Source organism: Homo sapiens, chromosome 6 (assembly GCF_000001405.40).
Source record: "Homo sapiens chromosome 6, GRCh38.p14 Primary Assembly".
NCBI lineage: Eukaryota > Metazoa > Chordata > Mammalia > Primates > Hominidae > Homo > Homo sapiens.
In genome coordinates, this window is record NC_000006.12 from 155,234,131 (window position 1) to 155,250,096 (window position 15,966).

The 15,966-nt window shown below is 47.0% G+C and overlaps 2 protein-coding genes across 9 annotated transcripts in view, besides 1 other annotated feature; one reads left to right on the forward strand and one right to left on the reverse strand.

Moving 5' to 3' along the window:
- Positions 1 to 15,966, forward strand: part of TIAM2 (TIAM Rac1 associated GEF 2) — a 262,409-nt gene that overhangs the window by 238,816 nt on the left and 7,627 nt on the right. For all 4 annotated transcript variants that reach the window (NM_012454.4, NM_001384546.1, NM_001384547.1 and 1 more), the window contains 6 exons: positions 6,400 to 6,579; positions 9,881 to 9,949; positions 10,528 to 10,653; positions 11,493 to 11,601; positions 13,870 to 14,049; positions 15,721 to 15,839. In NM_012454.4, the coding sequence (NP_036586.3) occupies positions 6,400 to 6,579; positions 9,881 to 9,949; positions 10,528 to 10,653; positions 11,493 to 11,601; positions 13,870 to 14,049; positions 15,721 to 15,839 (783 nt within the window). The remainder of the gene's footprint in view (positions 1 to 6,399; positions 6,580 to 9,880; positions 9,950 to 10,527; positions 10,654 to 11,492; positions 11,602 to 13,869; positions 14,050 to 15,720; positions 15,840 to 15,966) is intronic.
- TFB1M (transcription factor B1, mitochondrial) overlaps positions 1 to 15,966 on the reverse strand; it is an 84,614-nt gene that overhangs the window by 4,260 nt on the left and 64,388 nt on the right. The window contains exon 7 of one of the 5 annotated variants that reach the window (XM_011535871.3): positions 13,103 to 13,789. The exons of 3 other annotated variants lie outside the window; for them this stretch is intronic. The gene's annotated coding sequence lies outside the window, so the exon portion shown is untranslated. Of the gene's footprint in view, positions 1 to 13,102; positions 15,673 to 15,966 lie in introns of those variants that run through there. One more of the 5 variants, XM_011535872.3, reaches the window with a different exon arrangement.
- Positions 13,205 to 13,900: an enhancer, noted in NCBI's record as "H3K27ac-H3K4me1 hESC enhancer chr6:155568469-155569164 (GRCh37/hg19 assembly coordinates)". NCBI's record gives its function as "activates a minimal SCP1, AML or CMV promoter by ChIP-STARR-seq in primed H9 embryonic stem cells {active_cell/tissue: H9 hESC(primed)}" and the evidence as "EXISTENCE:reporter gene assay evidence [ECO:0000049][PMID:30033119]".

Below are 15,966 nucleotides of genomic sequence, written 5' to 3' on the forward strand. Positions count from 1 at the left end.
AGGCCTGTGATGGACCCAAGTTTGTAGCATTGATTGCTACAAACTGGAAAAAACCAATCTGAGGCCCCCATTTCAAGTGCCCGTGTTTTTTATTCTGCATATGCACATCCTGTTAGGCCACTGAATCCTCACACTCCCAGCCCTAAGTTATGATCATCTGTCTTTTGCTTTTATTTATTTACTTTTAGAGATAGAGCCTCACTCTGTCACTCAGTGGTGTCATCATAACTCACTGTAACCTTGAACTCCTGCCTCAGCATCGTTAGTGGCTGGGACCACAGGCATGTGCCACCACAGCCAGCTAATCTTTTTATCTTTTGTAAAGATGGGTTTCCCTATGTTGTCCAGGATAGTCTTGACCTCCTGGGCTCAAGCCATCCTCCTGACTTAGCCTTCTGAGTAGCTGGGACCATAGGCGTGTGCCACCATGGCCGGCTAATTTTTTTTTATCTTTTGTAGCGATGGGTTTCCCTTATGTTGTTCAGGCTGGTCTTGAACTCCTGGGCTCAAGTGATCCACCTGCCTCATTCTCCTAAAGTGTTGGGATTACAGGCATGAGCCACTGTGCCAGACCAGTCTTTTGCTTTTAAAGCAGCATTCCTGGGGTGGGGGTGGAATAGGCTCAATAGATGTCCCAGTTGTCTGCATATGAGCTGTTTCTGCCTCTCTAAGCAGAGGTGGTCTCCAGAGGCAGGTGGCTGCATCCCTAGAACACCTGGGGCCAGGAGAGCCCTGACCACATGGGAGGCAGAGGCAGCAGGAGGCGTGAGGAACTAGATTGCTTTGCCTGTGCTCTGCTAAATACCTGGGAGTGGCAGGGGCTGTGCGGACAGCTAGAGAGGGGAACAGAGCTAGAGACGGAGCACAGCTAGAGATGGAGCACAGCTAGAGACAGAGCACAGCTAGAGAGGGGAACAGAGCTAGAGATGGAGCAGAGCTAGAGAGGGGAACGGGCCCTGTGCCATTTAAGGTCTCGCTGAAGCCTCCTTGCCCCTCAGCTGGAAAGCCCTGGAGAGTCATGGTAAAGCTGCAATGCTGGCATGTTCTGTGAGAAACCTCCCAACTGTGCCTTGTGCACAGCAGCTGCTCGGCAAACACGAGTTTCCTTTTCTTCTTGACCCAAACGGCAATTTTAGCAGTTACTTGATGGAATAGGCATTCCTGCTGCCTTTTCATCAGGAAGGACACTGAAGACTTAGAATCGAGACTTGCCCAGGAGTGCACAGAAGGCTGGGGGTTGAGCCTGGACTGCAGCCCAGGCCTTCTGACTCTCATCTGTGCTTTTCAGGCCTATCACCATATATGCATGTGAAGATATCCCAGCCCAGATAATCACTATTCCTATAAAGTGCTGATCAGGTTCACCCAGAATGTCCCTCTAATGTTTGTAAACATCACGAACAGTGGGTGAACTGAAATGTAATCACCCAAGTGACTCCTTCAGCTACAATCTGAAAAGACACACTTATAATTACTCTTCTCCTTTTGGGGGCCCTGCCTCCTTTTGGTCCCAAGTAATCCTCACCAACTCCCTTAGACAACAGCTAAAATGTTAAGTGTACAAAAGGTGGCTTTCTAGCACTTGAACACTTAATTGTGGTACTTTAAGAAGTAAATCTGCTATGAAAAATCTCAGCTAACATTCACTTTTTGGGAGTTAATCTTACCAGAAAAGTTCATAAAGTGAATTCTGTTTTTCTAAAATGGCAAGATACTTTATTTGTAAGATCTCGTTACTTTAACACTGCATTGTTAGGTGTGATTTTTGACATCCCAGTGAAGCAAAGCCATAATCTCACCAGATGCCATTTAACTTATGATGTATTTTATCAGATCTTATTTTATACAGTATATTCAAGCTTAATATAGATTCTATAGCCCTGGGAACTGTTAGTTTTCAGGACTGCAGAATTATATTGTCTGAGCTTGTGGTGCAAATCCCAGTACAGAGATTTCAAATCAGTGAGTCTTGGAGTCCGAGTATTATCATCGTGAACATTTTAGCTCACTTCATAGGAGGCCACAACCAGAACACCAGAGTCATGGCTGTGATTCCGTCAATTTCCTGTAGCCCGTGAGCTCTGTCCACATACCTCAGTGGGGACCCTGGGACAGGTGATCCCACTGGAGCCAGCACCACTCCCAGAAATCCAAGCAGAACGCGAGCTGTATGAAGAGTAGACCAGCAGTTCTCATGCAGGCCACACATTAGCAACACCTGGGGGAGTTTTTTTAAGAAACACCCATGACAGCCAGGCATGGTGGCTCATGCCTGTAATCCCAGCACTTTGGGAGGCTGAGGTGGGCAGATCACCTGAGGTCAGGAGTTTAAGACCAGCCTGGCCAACATGGCAAAACCCCATCTCTACTAAAAATACAAAAATTAGCCAGGTGTGGTGGTGGGCACTTGTAATCCCAGCTACTTGGGAGGCTGAGGCAGGAGAATTGCTTGCACCCGGGAGGCAGAGGTTGCAGTGAGCTGAGATCGTGCCACTGCACTCCAGCCTGGGTGACAGAGCAAGACTCTGTCTCAAAAAAATAAAATAAAAGAGCAAGTCATATCTTACGTGGATGGCAGCAGGCAAAGAGAGCTTGTGCAGAGAAACTCCTGTTTTTAAAATCATCAGATCTTGTGAGATCTATTCACTATTACAAGAACAGCATGGGAAAGGCCCACCCCCATGATTCAATCATCTCCCACTGGGCCCCTCCCACAATACATGAGAATTATTTATGGGAGCTACAAGATGGGATTTAGGTGGGGACACAGAGCCAAACCATACCATTTTGCCCTGGCCCCTCCCAAATCTCATATCTTCACATTTGAAAACCAATCATGCCTTCCCAACAGTCCCCCAAAGTCTCAACTCATTTCAGCATTAACTGAAAGGTCTACAGTCTAAAATCTCATCCCAGAGAAGGCAAGTCCCTTCCACCTATGAGCCTGTAAAATCAAAAGCAAGTTAGTTACTTTCTAGATACAATGGGGGTACAGGCATTGGGTAAATACAGCCATTCCAAATGGGAGAAATTGGCCAAAATAAAGGGGCTCCAGGCCCCATGCAATTCCGAAATCCAGCAGGACAGTGAAATCTTAAAGCTCCAAAATGATCTCCTTTGACTCCATGTCTCACATCCAGGTCACACTGATGCAAGAGGTGGGTTCTCATGGTCTTGGGTAGCTCTGTCCCTGTGGCTTTAAAGGATATAGCCTCCCTCCTGGCTGCCTTCACAGGCTGGTGTTGAGTATCTACAGCTTTGCCAGGCACAGGGTGCAAGATGTCAGTGGATCTGGGCTCTGGAGGATGGTGGCCCTCTTCTCACAACTCCACTAGGCGGTGCCCCAGTAGGGACTCTGTGTGGGGCTCCAACCCCACATTTCCCTTCTGCACTGCCCTAGTGGAGGTTCTCCATGAGAGCCCTGCCCCTGCAGCAAACTTCTGCCTGGACATCCAGGCATTTCCATACATTCTCTGAAATCTAGGTGGAGGTTCTGAAACCCCAATTCTTGGACTTATGTGCACTGGCAGGCTCAACACCACATGGAAGCTGTCAAGGCTTGAGACTTGCACCCTCTGAAGCCATGGCTCAAGCTCTGTGTTGGCTCCTTTCAGCCATGGTTGGAGTGGCTGGGACTCAGGGCACCAATTCCCTGGGCGGAACACAGCATGGGGACCCTGGGCTTGGCCCAGGAAACCACTTTTTCCTCCTAGGCCTCCAGGCCTGTGATGGGAAGGGCTGCCAAGACCTCTGACATGCCCTGGAGACATTTTCATCATTGTCTTGGGGATTAACATTCAGTCCCTCTTTACTTATGCAAATGTCTGCAGCCAGCTTAGATTTCTCTTCAGAAAATGGGATTTTCTTTGCTATTGCATTGTCAGGCTACAAATTTTCCAAAGTTTTATGCTCTGCCTCCTCTATAAGGCTGAATGCCTTTACCAGCACTCAAGTCACATCTTGAATGCTTTGCTGTTTAGAAATTTCTTCTCCCAGATACCTTAAATCATCTCTCAAGTTCAAAGTTCCACAGATCTCTAGGGCAGGGGCAAAATGCCGCCAAGCTGTTGGCTAAAACATAACAAGGGTCAGCTTTGCTCCAGTTCCCAACAAGTTCCTCATCTCCATCTGAGACCACCTCAGCCTGGACCTTATTATTCATTTCACTATCAGCATCTTTGTCAAACCCATTCAACAAGTCTCTAGGAAGTTCCAAACTTTTCCACACTTTCCTGTCTTCTTCTGAGCCCTCCAAACTGTTCCAACCTCTGCCTGTTACCCAGCTCTGAAGTTGCCTCCACGTTTTCAGTTATGTTTTCAGCAGTGCCCCCGACTCAAAAGAGAAGCGATTCTACTGAAGGAGCTCAGCCATCTGGGAGTTCCCATGGCAGACATCTGTTAGGGTCTCACCCTTACTTGCCCCTTGAGGTAGGCCTGGAACGTTACTGGGCTCCTTTTCCCACTGCACCTTTGGCACATTCTCTGGTTCTCCCTTGGAGCAGGCTCCCTCCAGGACATGTTACAACCCTTTCACCGAAGCCTTCCTGGACAACCGATTCTAAAATGCTGCCTCTATTCATTTAATGTTTATTATAACTCTTCATTTGTTCCACAGAAGTCTTTGTTGATTCCAGATTGCCTTAGGCTATGCTTTGGGGTTTCCAGCCTTGGTGAGTCTTACCTCTTTGTGTAGGAACTGTTTCTACTTCTTTGGAGAAAAGCAGGCCCTCAATTGATGACCACTGAATTGAACTGAAAGACTAGCCAGAGATCAATGTTGAGTTTTAATGTGGATTGTATATTTCCATCATATGACAACACTGTGTTGGTGGGGGTTGGGGCATAGAACAGAGAGGGCAGTTGAGAGTGGCCTCTTTTTATTTTGGGGTGCTTCAGTTTGTCAAGAGACAGACTGTATAAAAAGCATGCATCAGGCTACCAAGTTTGACCAACATGCTTGTGTAAGCTTTCTGCAATATCCAAGGAAAGAAAATGAATTATGTGAATATTAAGAGATGCTCCTGAGAAGTTCAGCTTCTTACCCAAGACAGAGATGGATAGAGGTCAGGCATGAAGGCATTTAAGCTGAAAAAAGGAGAGTTTTTTAGTTGACAGTCAGAAAGTTGCTGGCTGTTAATGGATGCCAGTCATTTGTGTTGGGACTCAGCTGCGTTGTTCAGTAAGAATTTCAGTGCAGCAGAGGTGGGCCGAGTACCTCCTGTGCTGGCCAGTGAGCTGGCTGCTGGCGGAGATGTGAAAGAAAGAAGCCACCCTGCCCTCACTGGGCTTCCAGATGGGGAGGTGGTGAAGTGGGGTGGAGATGTGAGGGTGGAATGGAAAGAATGAGAAGTAAAAGGACACTTTGTAATCTGACCCTGCTCCAGCAACTGTGGAAGCGTTTCACCTGTGAGGCTTTCCAGCCAAAGTCTGGTGGATACAGATAGGCTGTCTTTGAGAAGGCGGAAGCACATGGTGCTTCTGTCTGAATAGGAGCTTGTGCCAAAGGCCAGTGGTCCCCCCAGATGGTCATGTTCCTTCTTGTCTCTTCATCTATGTGATTCCTTTCCCATGACTGGGAGCGAGTATTTCCTCTGAGCCCACATTCCCTAGGCCTGGCCCTGGCTCCCTGCTAAGACCAGCTTAGCTCCCTCCTCGCAGAGGTTTCCTCTGGGGCTGGTTGATCCCTGGCCTCTCATCCTCGCCAGGCCTTATGTGTCCTCTGCTCCCTGCCTGTGCGCTCTGCAGGGCTCTGCACCCCTTTAGGGTGAGGGTGTTACCATCTTCATCTGCTTCTACTCCATTACTAGCATGTGCACCAGCTCAAGAGTTTCTCACTCATAATTCTACTTGCCACAAGACTGTGGAGCTGAGCGGTTAGACTGGAGGGCAGAACTCCTGGCCCACTGTGGCCAGGTCGTCCTGTAATTGCTCTTGGGCTGTGCCTCTCTTGAGTCTCTCCGGGCTGTTCTGTGTGGGAGATGGAAAACTGGATTAGGCCAACCATTGAGGGGACTGGGTGGGCCTGTTGAGGCCATCTGCTCTTGTTGCTCCCTAGAAAGCCATAACTTCTTGATTTCAGAGCTACCTCACCTTGACTGCAGAGGGTTAGCCCTAGGCAATGACTCTGTAATTTCAGGTCCAAAGATACATCTAACAGCTGATGTGACAATGGAGAGCCTCGTGTGTAAACACTGAACATGAGTGTGGGCGCACATCTTCCTTACTCAGATCCGAAATGATAGCCAGAGGGGTTTGAGGTGAATGAAACCCTTTGCCCTACACAGAGGCCCCTCTGAGATCCCTGCTGAGCACAGACGGAGACACTTGGTGCCCTTGGGGGCAGCGGATACTATCAGGGAGAGGCCCGTGCATTATTTTCCACCTCTTGTCCTCTCTCAGAGTGCTGAGCAGATCACTGCACTGTGCAGGAGTTTTAACGACAGTCAGGCCAACGGCATGGAAGGACCGCGGGAGAATCAGGATCCTCCTCCGAGGTCTCTGGCCCGCCACCTGTCTGATGCAGACCGCCTCCGCAAAGTCATCCAGGAGCTTGTGGACACAGAGAAGTCCTACGTGAAGGTAAGGGAAGAGCTGGCATTTATGCATTCGTGCCTCTTTGATGATGGCAAGTGGTATGCTGGCAGAGGTCCCCAGATCACCTCTGCCCAGGACACCTGCCACTCCCCAGGGGGGGACACCTGCTCCTTGAATCAGTGAATTGCTCAAGGAAGGGAGGGGAAGAGTGAGAGGGTGGAAGAGCTGAGGAGACTCAGAAAAAAATTAGATCCTTGGCTTATTTTGTTACCAAGGTAGCTTTCACTATGGAAACAGATGTTCTGGTTTGTCATTTGCAATCTGTGGGAAGGGAGTCTGTACTGGTTTAGTATAAGGGGAGAGAGATCACTTTAGGTGATGAGGAACTTGGGAACAATCTGTACATACGTGACGGCTGATCCAGGCCCCACAGTCTTGGCGGTGGCCCGGGCCAGCCCTGCCTGGTGGTTGTCATCGTGTAGAACTGGGACGCACACACTGGGGAGTGGTCAGCACGTGGGAATATCCTTGCACCATTATGAAGGGGCAGTTGCCGAGTATCTTGAGTACCCGAAGAATTCATTTATCCATCTCATAAGCCCCCAGTCAGTGGTTTGAGAAAGATTTTATGAAGAATACTGGAGCCTGGGGAGCAGAGTTCTTTTGCTTTGTTTCCTGGAGCTTTGGTACCATTTGAAGCTCGCTTCATTTGTCAGTTACTGAAGCAGCGCGGCACGGTGCGGTGGGCTGAGGGTCCAGGCCCGGCTTTGCCTCCCTCTGGCTGTATGGTGGATGGCCCCCTTCAACTCCCTTATTTGGGGTCTGAGACACTCGGTCCCCCTTCTCTAAATGTCTTCCAACTCTGACGTGCTGGGTCCATGAATTAAGGCTTGGCACACACGTGCGGCTATTACCTTGCTCTGCAAGACAGATCTGAGCTTCCCCCTTTTGTTGATGTCGCTGTTTTACCAGGACTTCACCTAAGGCCCTATTCACAGGTAGCTTCCCAAAGCCCCTTCTTTTGGCCTCAGAGGGGAGAAAGGAAAGTTAGGAGAGATGACAGTTTAGTTTCATTTTCCATTATGTCTTGTCCTGCATCCAGGGTGTGGAGATGAAGTGAACAGCCAGGCTGTTCAGACTCAAGTTCTGAATAATCCCATCTCCACAGTCACCTTTTTCCAAGTCGCTGTGTGGCGCTGTAGATATTTTGGAAGCTTCAGAGCCCTTCTGACATCTTGAGAATAGTCATGGAGCTCTTGCCCCAAGAGTTAAGGGCAGAGTTGAGAGGAGAATCGATGTCCCTTTTTGGTAATAGTGTTGTTAGAATTTCCTGTTAGGCCACGCTGTACTGGGAGGGTCATTTCAGTGACAGGCTGGCAGAGTACTCAGATGGTGTCATGGGTGAAGTAGACAAGGACCGACTCTCCCTTCTCTCTGCAAGAAACCTGCACTTTGTTTTCTTAGGGCCCCCCTGGGTTGCAGCCCTTTGCCCCCCGCAGCTCTGCGCGGACCTGATTTTGCTGTCCAGGAAGTCCTCCCAGGCAGCACCAGCCTGTGAGGCATGACTGCCAGGCCCCAACACCCTCGGACAAAATAACCCACACTTGGCACCTGTTGTGATTCACACACACACCACCGTTTCTTCATTTCTTTTTTGTTGCTGACGTTTAACACAGAATCTTGTTGTTTTTTAACCTGGATCCCCTGCATGCTCCTTGAAATTTTTGACATCTATGTGTTCCCTGAGATATGATTCAGTAACTTCCATCATCTCCCTTCTCTGAGCGGTCTGGCGTGGAATATGGTGAGGGAAGGCCAGGGAGGTTTTTATGGTGAAAGCATCCGTGTCACAGGCCTTGCCTTTTGCTCTCTGAACTAAGGCCAGAAAGTTCTGGGGATGCTTTGGGCTTTATAAAGCTCTGGGTCTTAGGTTCCCCTCTTGGGAAGTGAGGGAGTTATTATAGCTGACTTTGCAGTCAACTGCTTCTAGTATTTTAGGACTCAAAATTCTTCAGAATAAAAGAGAAATCTTTTCTATCACTGAACTATATCCTGGTCTTGCCTTCAAATTATTATTATTATTATTTTGGAGATGGAGTCTCGCTCTGTCACCCAGGCTGGAGTGCAGTGGCATGATCTTGGCTCACTGCAACCTCCACCTCCTGAGTTCAAGAGATTCTCCTGCCTCAGCTTCCTGAGTAGCTGGGACTACAGGCACCCGCCACCACACCCAGCTATTTTTTTTTTTTCTTTTTTTTAGTAGAAACAGGGTTTCACCATGTTGGCTTGGCTGGTCTTGAACTCCTGACCTCAGGTGATCCACCCGCCTCTGCCTCCCAAAGTGCTGGGATTACAGGCATGAGACACCATGCCTGGCTTTGGCTTCAAATTATTAAACAAAATCTTTCGCTCATGGGTTTTGTAACTGCAGTCTACTCCCACTATACTGTCCTGCTGGAACCTCGTTTGCAAGACAGCCAAATATGGCTTAGAGTTTAGCCATTAGAGCTGCAGCTCTGTGGGAGTTTTTTATTGCCTTTGAATATGTGAGTTTGAGATTCTGTGAATCAGTCAACCCCAAAGTTGAAGGGCTCCCCAGAACTTGACCCTCCCAGCTCCATGCTGGACCTCTCACTGTGCTCCCTGAGGCAGAAGAGGCCAGGAGCTGGGGTGCACCTGACACCAGTGCCACCCAGACGCCCTTCCTCTGCAGGGAAGTGAGTGCCCCTGCTGCAGTGGCCTGAAGAAAGGGTGTTTCTGTCACCAAGACACTTACCTAAGCAGAGGGAATGATCGAGCTGTAAAGGTGTGGAATCCAGCTGTTGCCTGTATTGTGATATTAAACTCTTTGAATTAGGTGAGCAATAATCACTACTTTTGGGGTCAGGAATTTCAACAAAGGCTGGGTGTGGTGGCTCACGCCTGTAATGCTAGCACTTTGGGAGGCCAAGGCAGGAGGATCACCTGAGGTCAGGAGTTCGAGACCAGCCTGACCAACATGGTGAAACCCTGCCCCTACTAAAAATACAAAAATTAGCTGAGTGTGGTGGAGCACACCTGTAGTCCCAGCTATGTGGGAGGCTGAGGCAGGGGAATCTCTTGAACCCAGGAGGCAGAGGTTGCAGTGAGCTGAGATCATGCCACTGCACTCCAGCCTGGGTGACAGAGCAAGACTCCGTCTCAAAAAAAAAAAAAAAAAAAAAAAAAAAAAAAGAATTTCAACAAGGCATAAACTTCATTATCCTGATGGGAGCCTTGGGAGCTGCTGCCAGGTTGCTGCTACCCAAATCTCATGGGTATTTTGGAGACTAAAGCGTTGAAGACACTTTCTTCTATTTTCTTTCAGGATTTGAGCTGCCTCTTTGAATTATACTTGGAGCCACTTCAGAATGAGACCTTTCTTACCCAAGATGAGGTAAATAAAATCACCTTCCTTCTGTCCAGTGATCCACAGGTTAGTCTCTGTTTGCCTTTTAGCAGAACTCCTATGAGAGTATCTCTGTTGATCCCAAAAGAACATCCCAAGACTTAACGGTCTTCTGAGAGTCCCAGGCATAGCCTCCTCCTAAACCACTGCTGTGGCCTCGGCTGCATGACCCAGTGGCAGAGTGTTTACAAAGGCAGAGGGACGGTTATGGTCTTTTTGAGGTAGAAGAGAGTGTGATCAGAAATTCCTTTTCAATACATACCTTTGTAATGTGAAACCACATAATTAGTTCTACTGACTTACATTTTTCTTAATTTGAATTCTGAGAATTTTACATCCACTTAAAAATTTACTGTAGTAATAGAGAATTATGGGGGATGGAGCTGTGAAACTTTCTATGTATAAGCCATATCCCATAATGAATGTGCTGTCTTCTTAAAGGATTTACTTTCTGTCTGCTTTTCCGTGAAGAATTTCCTTGTGATTTATTTGTGGGCCTAAGAGTTAGCGTGGTGTCCTGAACTTCATGGCTAATCCCCTCATTTCAAATCCTGATCTTCACATAGATGGAGTCACTTTTTGGAAGTTTGCCAGAGATGCTTGAGTTTCAGAAGGTGTTTCTGGAGACCCTGGAGGATGGGATTTCAGCATCATCTGACTTTAACACCCTAGAAACCCCCTCACAGTTTAGAGTAAGTATCTCAGATTTAGGCTTAAAGTAAAAATACGTGGCTATGGTACGTATTTCTCTCATGAGAATTCTCTCATGAGAAAGAATTTCTTGTCCTGTGACTATTGACTATTTATTGTCCTGTGACTATTTCCTTGCACCGTTTTCCTCTGTCAGGTGGTAAAGGAAGGCTGTATATATTTTTTTTTCCTGGCGCAGGTGCTTTTGGTAGTCAGAAGTCCAGCAGCACCTCCCGCCTGGTTGTTGACCACGTACGTGCTCTTTTCTCAGCTGCTGTGAAGGATATCCAAGGTGGTTGCTTCTGAAACCAGAGCTCCTACCCTGTGCCCAATCCTTCTTCCCCGTGGTCATGTGGATCTGGGATTAAGAGAATAGGTTTCTAATTGCTGGGCTCAAGCCCTCTCTTCTATGAAGCACCAGTGCTCCATAGCATCCGTGTAAGCCGCAGTGTGGCAGGAAGCCCCTCCAAGGGGACCTGGAACCATACAGACAGCATCACTCTCCCCAAGCAATGCAGAGTCGGCTTTATTAGTGAACCTCTCTCAGATTGTTTATATCCCACCTTGTCAGCTGTATTTTTGTAGAACTTTCTTTGTTTCTTGTCCTTGGATTGCACACTGTCAGTAGGCTCTGCCGCTGGAAACTTTGCAGTCAAGCTAGATACCTGCCAGGGGAGCGCCTGGGCTGTTCCCCACCTCCTGTGTGGATGGAGCAGGTTTGAACTTCTCCAAGGCATTAGTGCTATGGAATCTGACAGAAGCCATGGGGCCGTCAAATGCCATAAGCCAGCACGCATTGATTAAACCATGTCTGATTTGACTTTCCCCTCTGCCCTTCTAGAAATTACTGTTTTCCCTTGGAGGCTCTTTCCTTTATTACGCGGACCACTTTAAACTGTACAGTGGATTCTGTGCTAACCATATCAAAGTACAGAAGGTTCTGGAGCGAGGTAAGTTGCTTATGCCTTTTATAGTTTTTTTTTTTTTTTGCATTTTTAACTGTTAGTAAAGGGTAAATCTGTATTTAACAAGTAGAGAGTAAGTACAATTTTGATGTATTAAGGTCCATCCTTGACCTTGACAGTGGCAAATATTAAAGGGAAAGGTTTCTGTTTCTGTCAGTTAATTAGTAGCTGGGAACAAGTATGCCTAAGAGCAGAGATGTTGCTTTGCCATGTGTCACTTTGCTGTCAGTTACATCTGGATTCTTTTCTTGCCAAATTCCTTTCTCTAAAAACTTGCAACCCCAAACCCTAGATGGGAGTAGAAAGAAATGCATGCTATGGTGTTTTTTTTTTTTTCCTTGTTAATCTTCTTAAGCCTGAGGAGCCACAACAGCCTACCACGAAACTCACAAGAAGTGTGTCAGCTGAAAGTAAAGTCTCTCTGGTGCAACTGGAAAGAGCTCACATTTCCCAAAGGTTGCTCTTCGGTGTTTCTCTCTGCGTGGGCCTGGAGGGCATCTGGAGGTTTATCCTGACGCCCTTAGTGCTCATTCATGTCCACGGATGCAGCTCTGCCATTGGATTTTAATCCAGAACGTCATGATATCCCAGAAGAAAAGCCCCACATTTAAAAAGTGGGGTCTTAGAGTGCTTCAAATGAGCAAGACCCAGCCCAAATCCATCTTCTCCAGTTGCTTTAGACAGTTGCTGAACTCTGTTGCCATTTCCTCCCACAAACACCCTCTTTTTAATTAAATTTAATTAATTAATTTTAAAAATGTAAAAATGTTCGTAGAAATGGGTCTCACTGTGTTGCCCAGGCTGGTCTCAAGCTCCTGGCCTCAAGTGATCCTCCTATCTAGGCCTCCCAAAGTGCTGGGATTATAGGCATGAGCCACCACGCCTGGCCCACAAGCACCTTTGTATTGACAGTCTGTAGTACAGTGAAAGCATACCAATGTACTTGTCAATACATATTGACAGTCAGTGCAGTACAGTGAAAGCATACCAATGGCTTGCTCCATTCCTCCTTTGTCATAAAGAAGAGGGGTCCTGTCACCACCTACTTGGCCTGGTAATCACATTCAAAATGGTATTGCATCTCCTAGAATGTTGTAGATTTTGATCTTACAACACAATCCCAAATAAGGGTGTATCTTCCTTCAGAGTAGCTGCATTCCAAGCAACTGGGCATCCAGTGCCAACTGGTGGAATCCAAGTAGCACTGGTGTATCCGCTGGTACCCAAACCAAATGCACCTGGATTCCTACACACACCCTTCATGGCACTCAGACAAAGGGGCAGTTTTCACTGCCAGAGAGGGTCCTACTGCCATGCCTGTTGGAAGGGAGCTGTGGCTCTAGGTATGCGAAAGGTGAATCTGCTTGGAGCTGTGGAGTGAAGGCTGTAGGCTGCAGGCTGTGGTGCCTGTCACCTTACTTTACAGGAGAAAAGACACTGCTTTCCAGATAACCCTTAAGTGTACAGAATACAAATAAGCAACAACTAGAGTGAGGCCAGTGGGAAAAACACTGGTTTATTTTCCTTTATGAAATTTTTGTGGGTATGGTGTAGGGTCTGGATAACATTGCTTAATGGCTTTTTTGATGTTGTTTTTTTTGAGATGGAGTCTCACTTTGTTGCCTAGGCTGGAGTGCAGTGGCGCGATCTTGGCTCACTGCACCCTCCACCTCAGGAGTTCAGGTGATTCTCCTCCCTCAGCCTCCTGAGTAGCTGGGATTAGAGGCGCCCACCACCACGCCCGGCGAATTTTTGTATTTTTAGTAGAGACGGGTTTCACCATGTTGGCCAGGCTGGTCTCGAACTCGTGACCTCAGGTGATCTGCCCGCCTCAGCCTCCCAAAGTGCTGGGATTACGGGCGTGAGCCACCGCACCTGGCCACGCTTCATGGCTTTTAATGAATTGTTTGAAACTCACTTTTTAGGCCACCTATAACAATATTTCTCATGGGTATGCATGAAATGTGTCTTTAAAGTCAGACATTCCTGCATTTTGAGTCAGTGTTAGTCTTTGGGGCGCAGCCTGCATTCCATCCTCGGAAGCTCCCAGCACTCCAGGGCTCTGTCAGGGCTGTGAGGCGGAATCCCACGCTGACAGCTGGGTGCCTGACCCACTGATGTGTTGGGGTTTTCATTAAAGAATGGCATTAGGAGGACTATAGAAATAGATGATCTATAAATGTTAAAAGAGAAATGAAGAATTTAATTCACCCCACTGTGCTCTTCTGAGGTCTTTTATCCATCTGCTTGTAGCTAAAACTGACAAAGCCTTCAAGGCTTTTCTGGACGCCCGGAACCCCACCAAGCAGCATTCCTCCACGCTGGAGTCCTACCTCATCAAGCCGGTTCAGAGAGTGCTCAAGTACCCGCTGCTGCTCAAGGAGCTGGTGTCCCTGACGGACCAGGAGAGCGAGGAGCACTACCACCTGACGGGTGAGGCGGCGGCGGCACCTCCGGGCGAGGGCCTGCACAGGGCGGCGAGGGGCTGCCAGCCGTGCCCTGGGCCTGACAGCTCACCTCTTCCCCGCCTAGTGGCACGTCCTAAGTCACTTTTCAGTTCTGCGATGGTTAATCTTAGGTTTCACGTGAATATGTGAAACTAGCTAGGCGTCTGGGCACTCCTTTAGAGCTTACAAAATACTTGGGTAGAAATGATCTCATCCGGGTAGCGCCATACTCCTCCTATGCAGGGATGATTCTGTCTTCACTCTCAAAATAAGTAAATTACCTCAGGTCACGTGGCTGTGAAACAGTGCCGCTGGAACTGAAAATCAGGCCTATTTTCCTACCACTTGGTTAAGTTTTGTGGGGTTCGCTGCCCGAGCTGCTGGTCAGATTTGTTGGGTGAGGCTCCACCTTGTGGAGATCTCTGAGCAGAGCTCGGCTTCAAAACCAAACTCCCAATGATGGGTTATGCTTTCAAGTCGCTACTGGTGTGTTACTGTTTGAACCTCTGAAATTACTGGCCTGAGACACAATTTATCAAAAACACAAAGCCTTGCAGTTTGATAGTAAATAGAGGATCCTTAAAGAGGGGCTTTATTTGGGTTGGAGATAGTGATTTGTTCATATGTTGAAACTAGGAGGTCCAATTAAACCATAGGTGATAAAATTTATGGGGAGAGAGAGGCTTATTAACACTTTAGTATTACTGAATAATAAATACTGAGAAGAGCGTAAATTAAACTGGCTTTTTTTCCATGACAAGCATACTTTGGTATCAAAATCAACAAGAGGAAAGCATTTTTGTATGACAGTTAACTTCTATAAGTAAATAATACAAATTATGTTCAGCATTCATACTATGTAAAAACTTCATTTTGTATTAAGATGATCTTTAGAAGGGTTTGATTTAAAAAACTTCCTTCCAAACTTCCCTCCAGTTAGAATTAAAATGCTGAATTGGGAGAAAAAAAAGTATAAAGAATACTGAATTTAGAAGTGACCTAAAATTTTGCTTTTTGGCTTTTATAAAATAATGTATCTCTCATATTCCCTCGCGGAAAGTTATGAACATATACCATATATAAATGCAAACAATTGTTCTGTCAGTCAGTCATGTACTGGGGTGTTTTTAAGTTCCATTTAAACCTAGATCCGGGTTCCCAGAAGGGCAAGCCAAACTCGAGAGCTGGTGCCCTAAGCCCAGTCAGGCTTGGGTTTGAAGCCTGGCTCCATTCTTGTGTTTTCCTCTCTGGAACTCTGGCAGAATATCCTGCACTCACTTTTCTCATCTGTAAAATGGGATGGTTTAGTCTTTGAGTTATTGCGGGCACTAAATGAGATGATTCACAGAAATCACCTGTCGTGATCCTTGCTAAGTAGAAAGTGCTCCAGAAATGTCAGTTGTTGTTATTAGTGATACTTTTCACTGATACTCTGTCTCATTTCAAAAAGAATTTGAAGTAGGAGATAATTTTGCTGTTCTTCATTCTAAGGGCTGGGCTACAGTGGGCTGTTGTGACTTATTCTGAATGTAATGCTCCTGCTAGTGGGTACTGGTCTGGAATCCTGAGTTGAATCTTGACTCCATTCATTATTACTGTTGGATAGAATCTAAAACAAATAACAGTTATGAAATAAATATGATTTCATATCTTGCAGAAGCACTAAAGGCAATGGAGAAAGTAGCGAGCCACATCAATGAGATGCAGAAGATCTATGAGGATTATGGGACCGTGTTTGACCAGCTAGTAGCTGAGCAGAGCGGAACAGAGAAGGAGGTCCGTGAGACATCTGCACCCTGGGAGCCTAGTGCATGTGGTGTGGGGTCTGTAGGTGACCTTCTAGATAGGCTGCCCTGTTAGGACTTTCCTGGAGGAGAAAATGCCTAAGATTTTTCTTGATAAC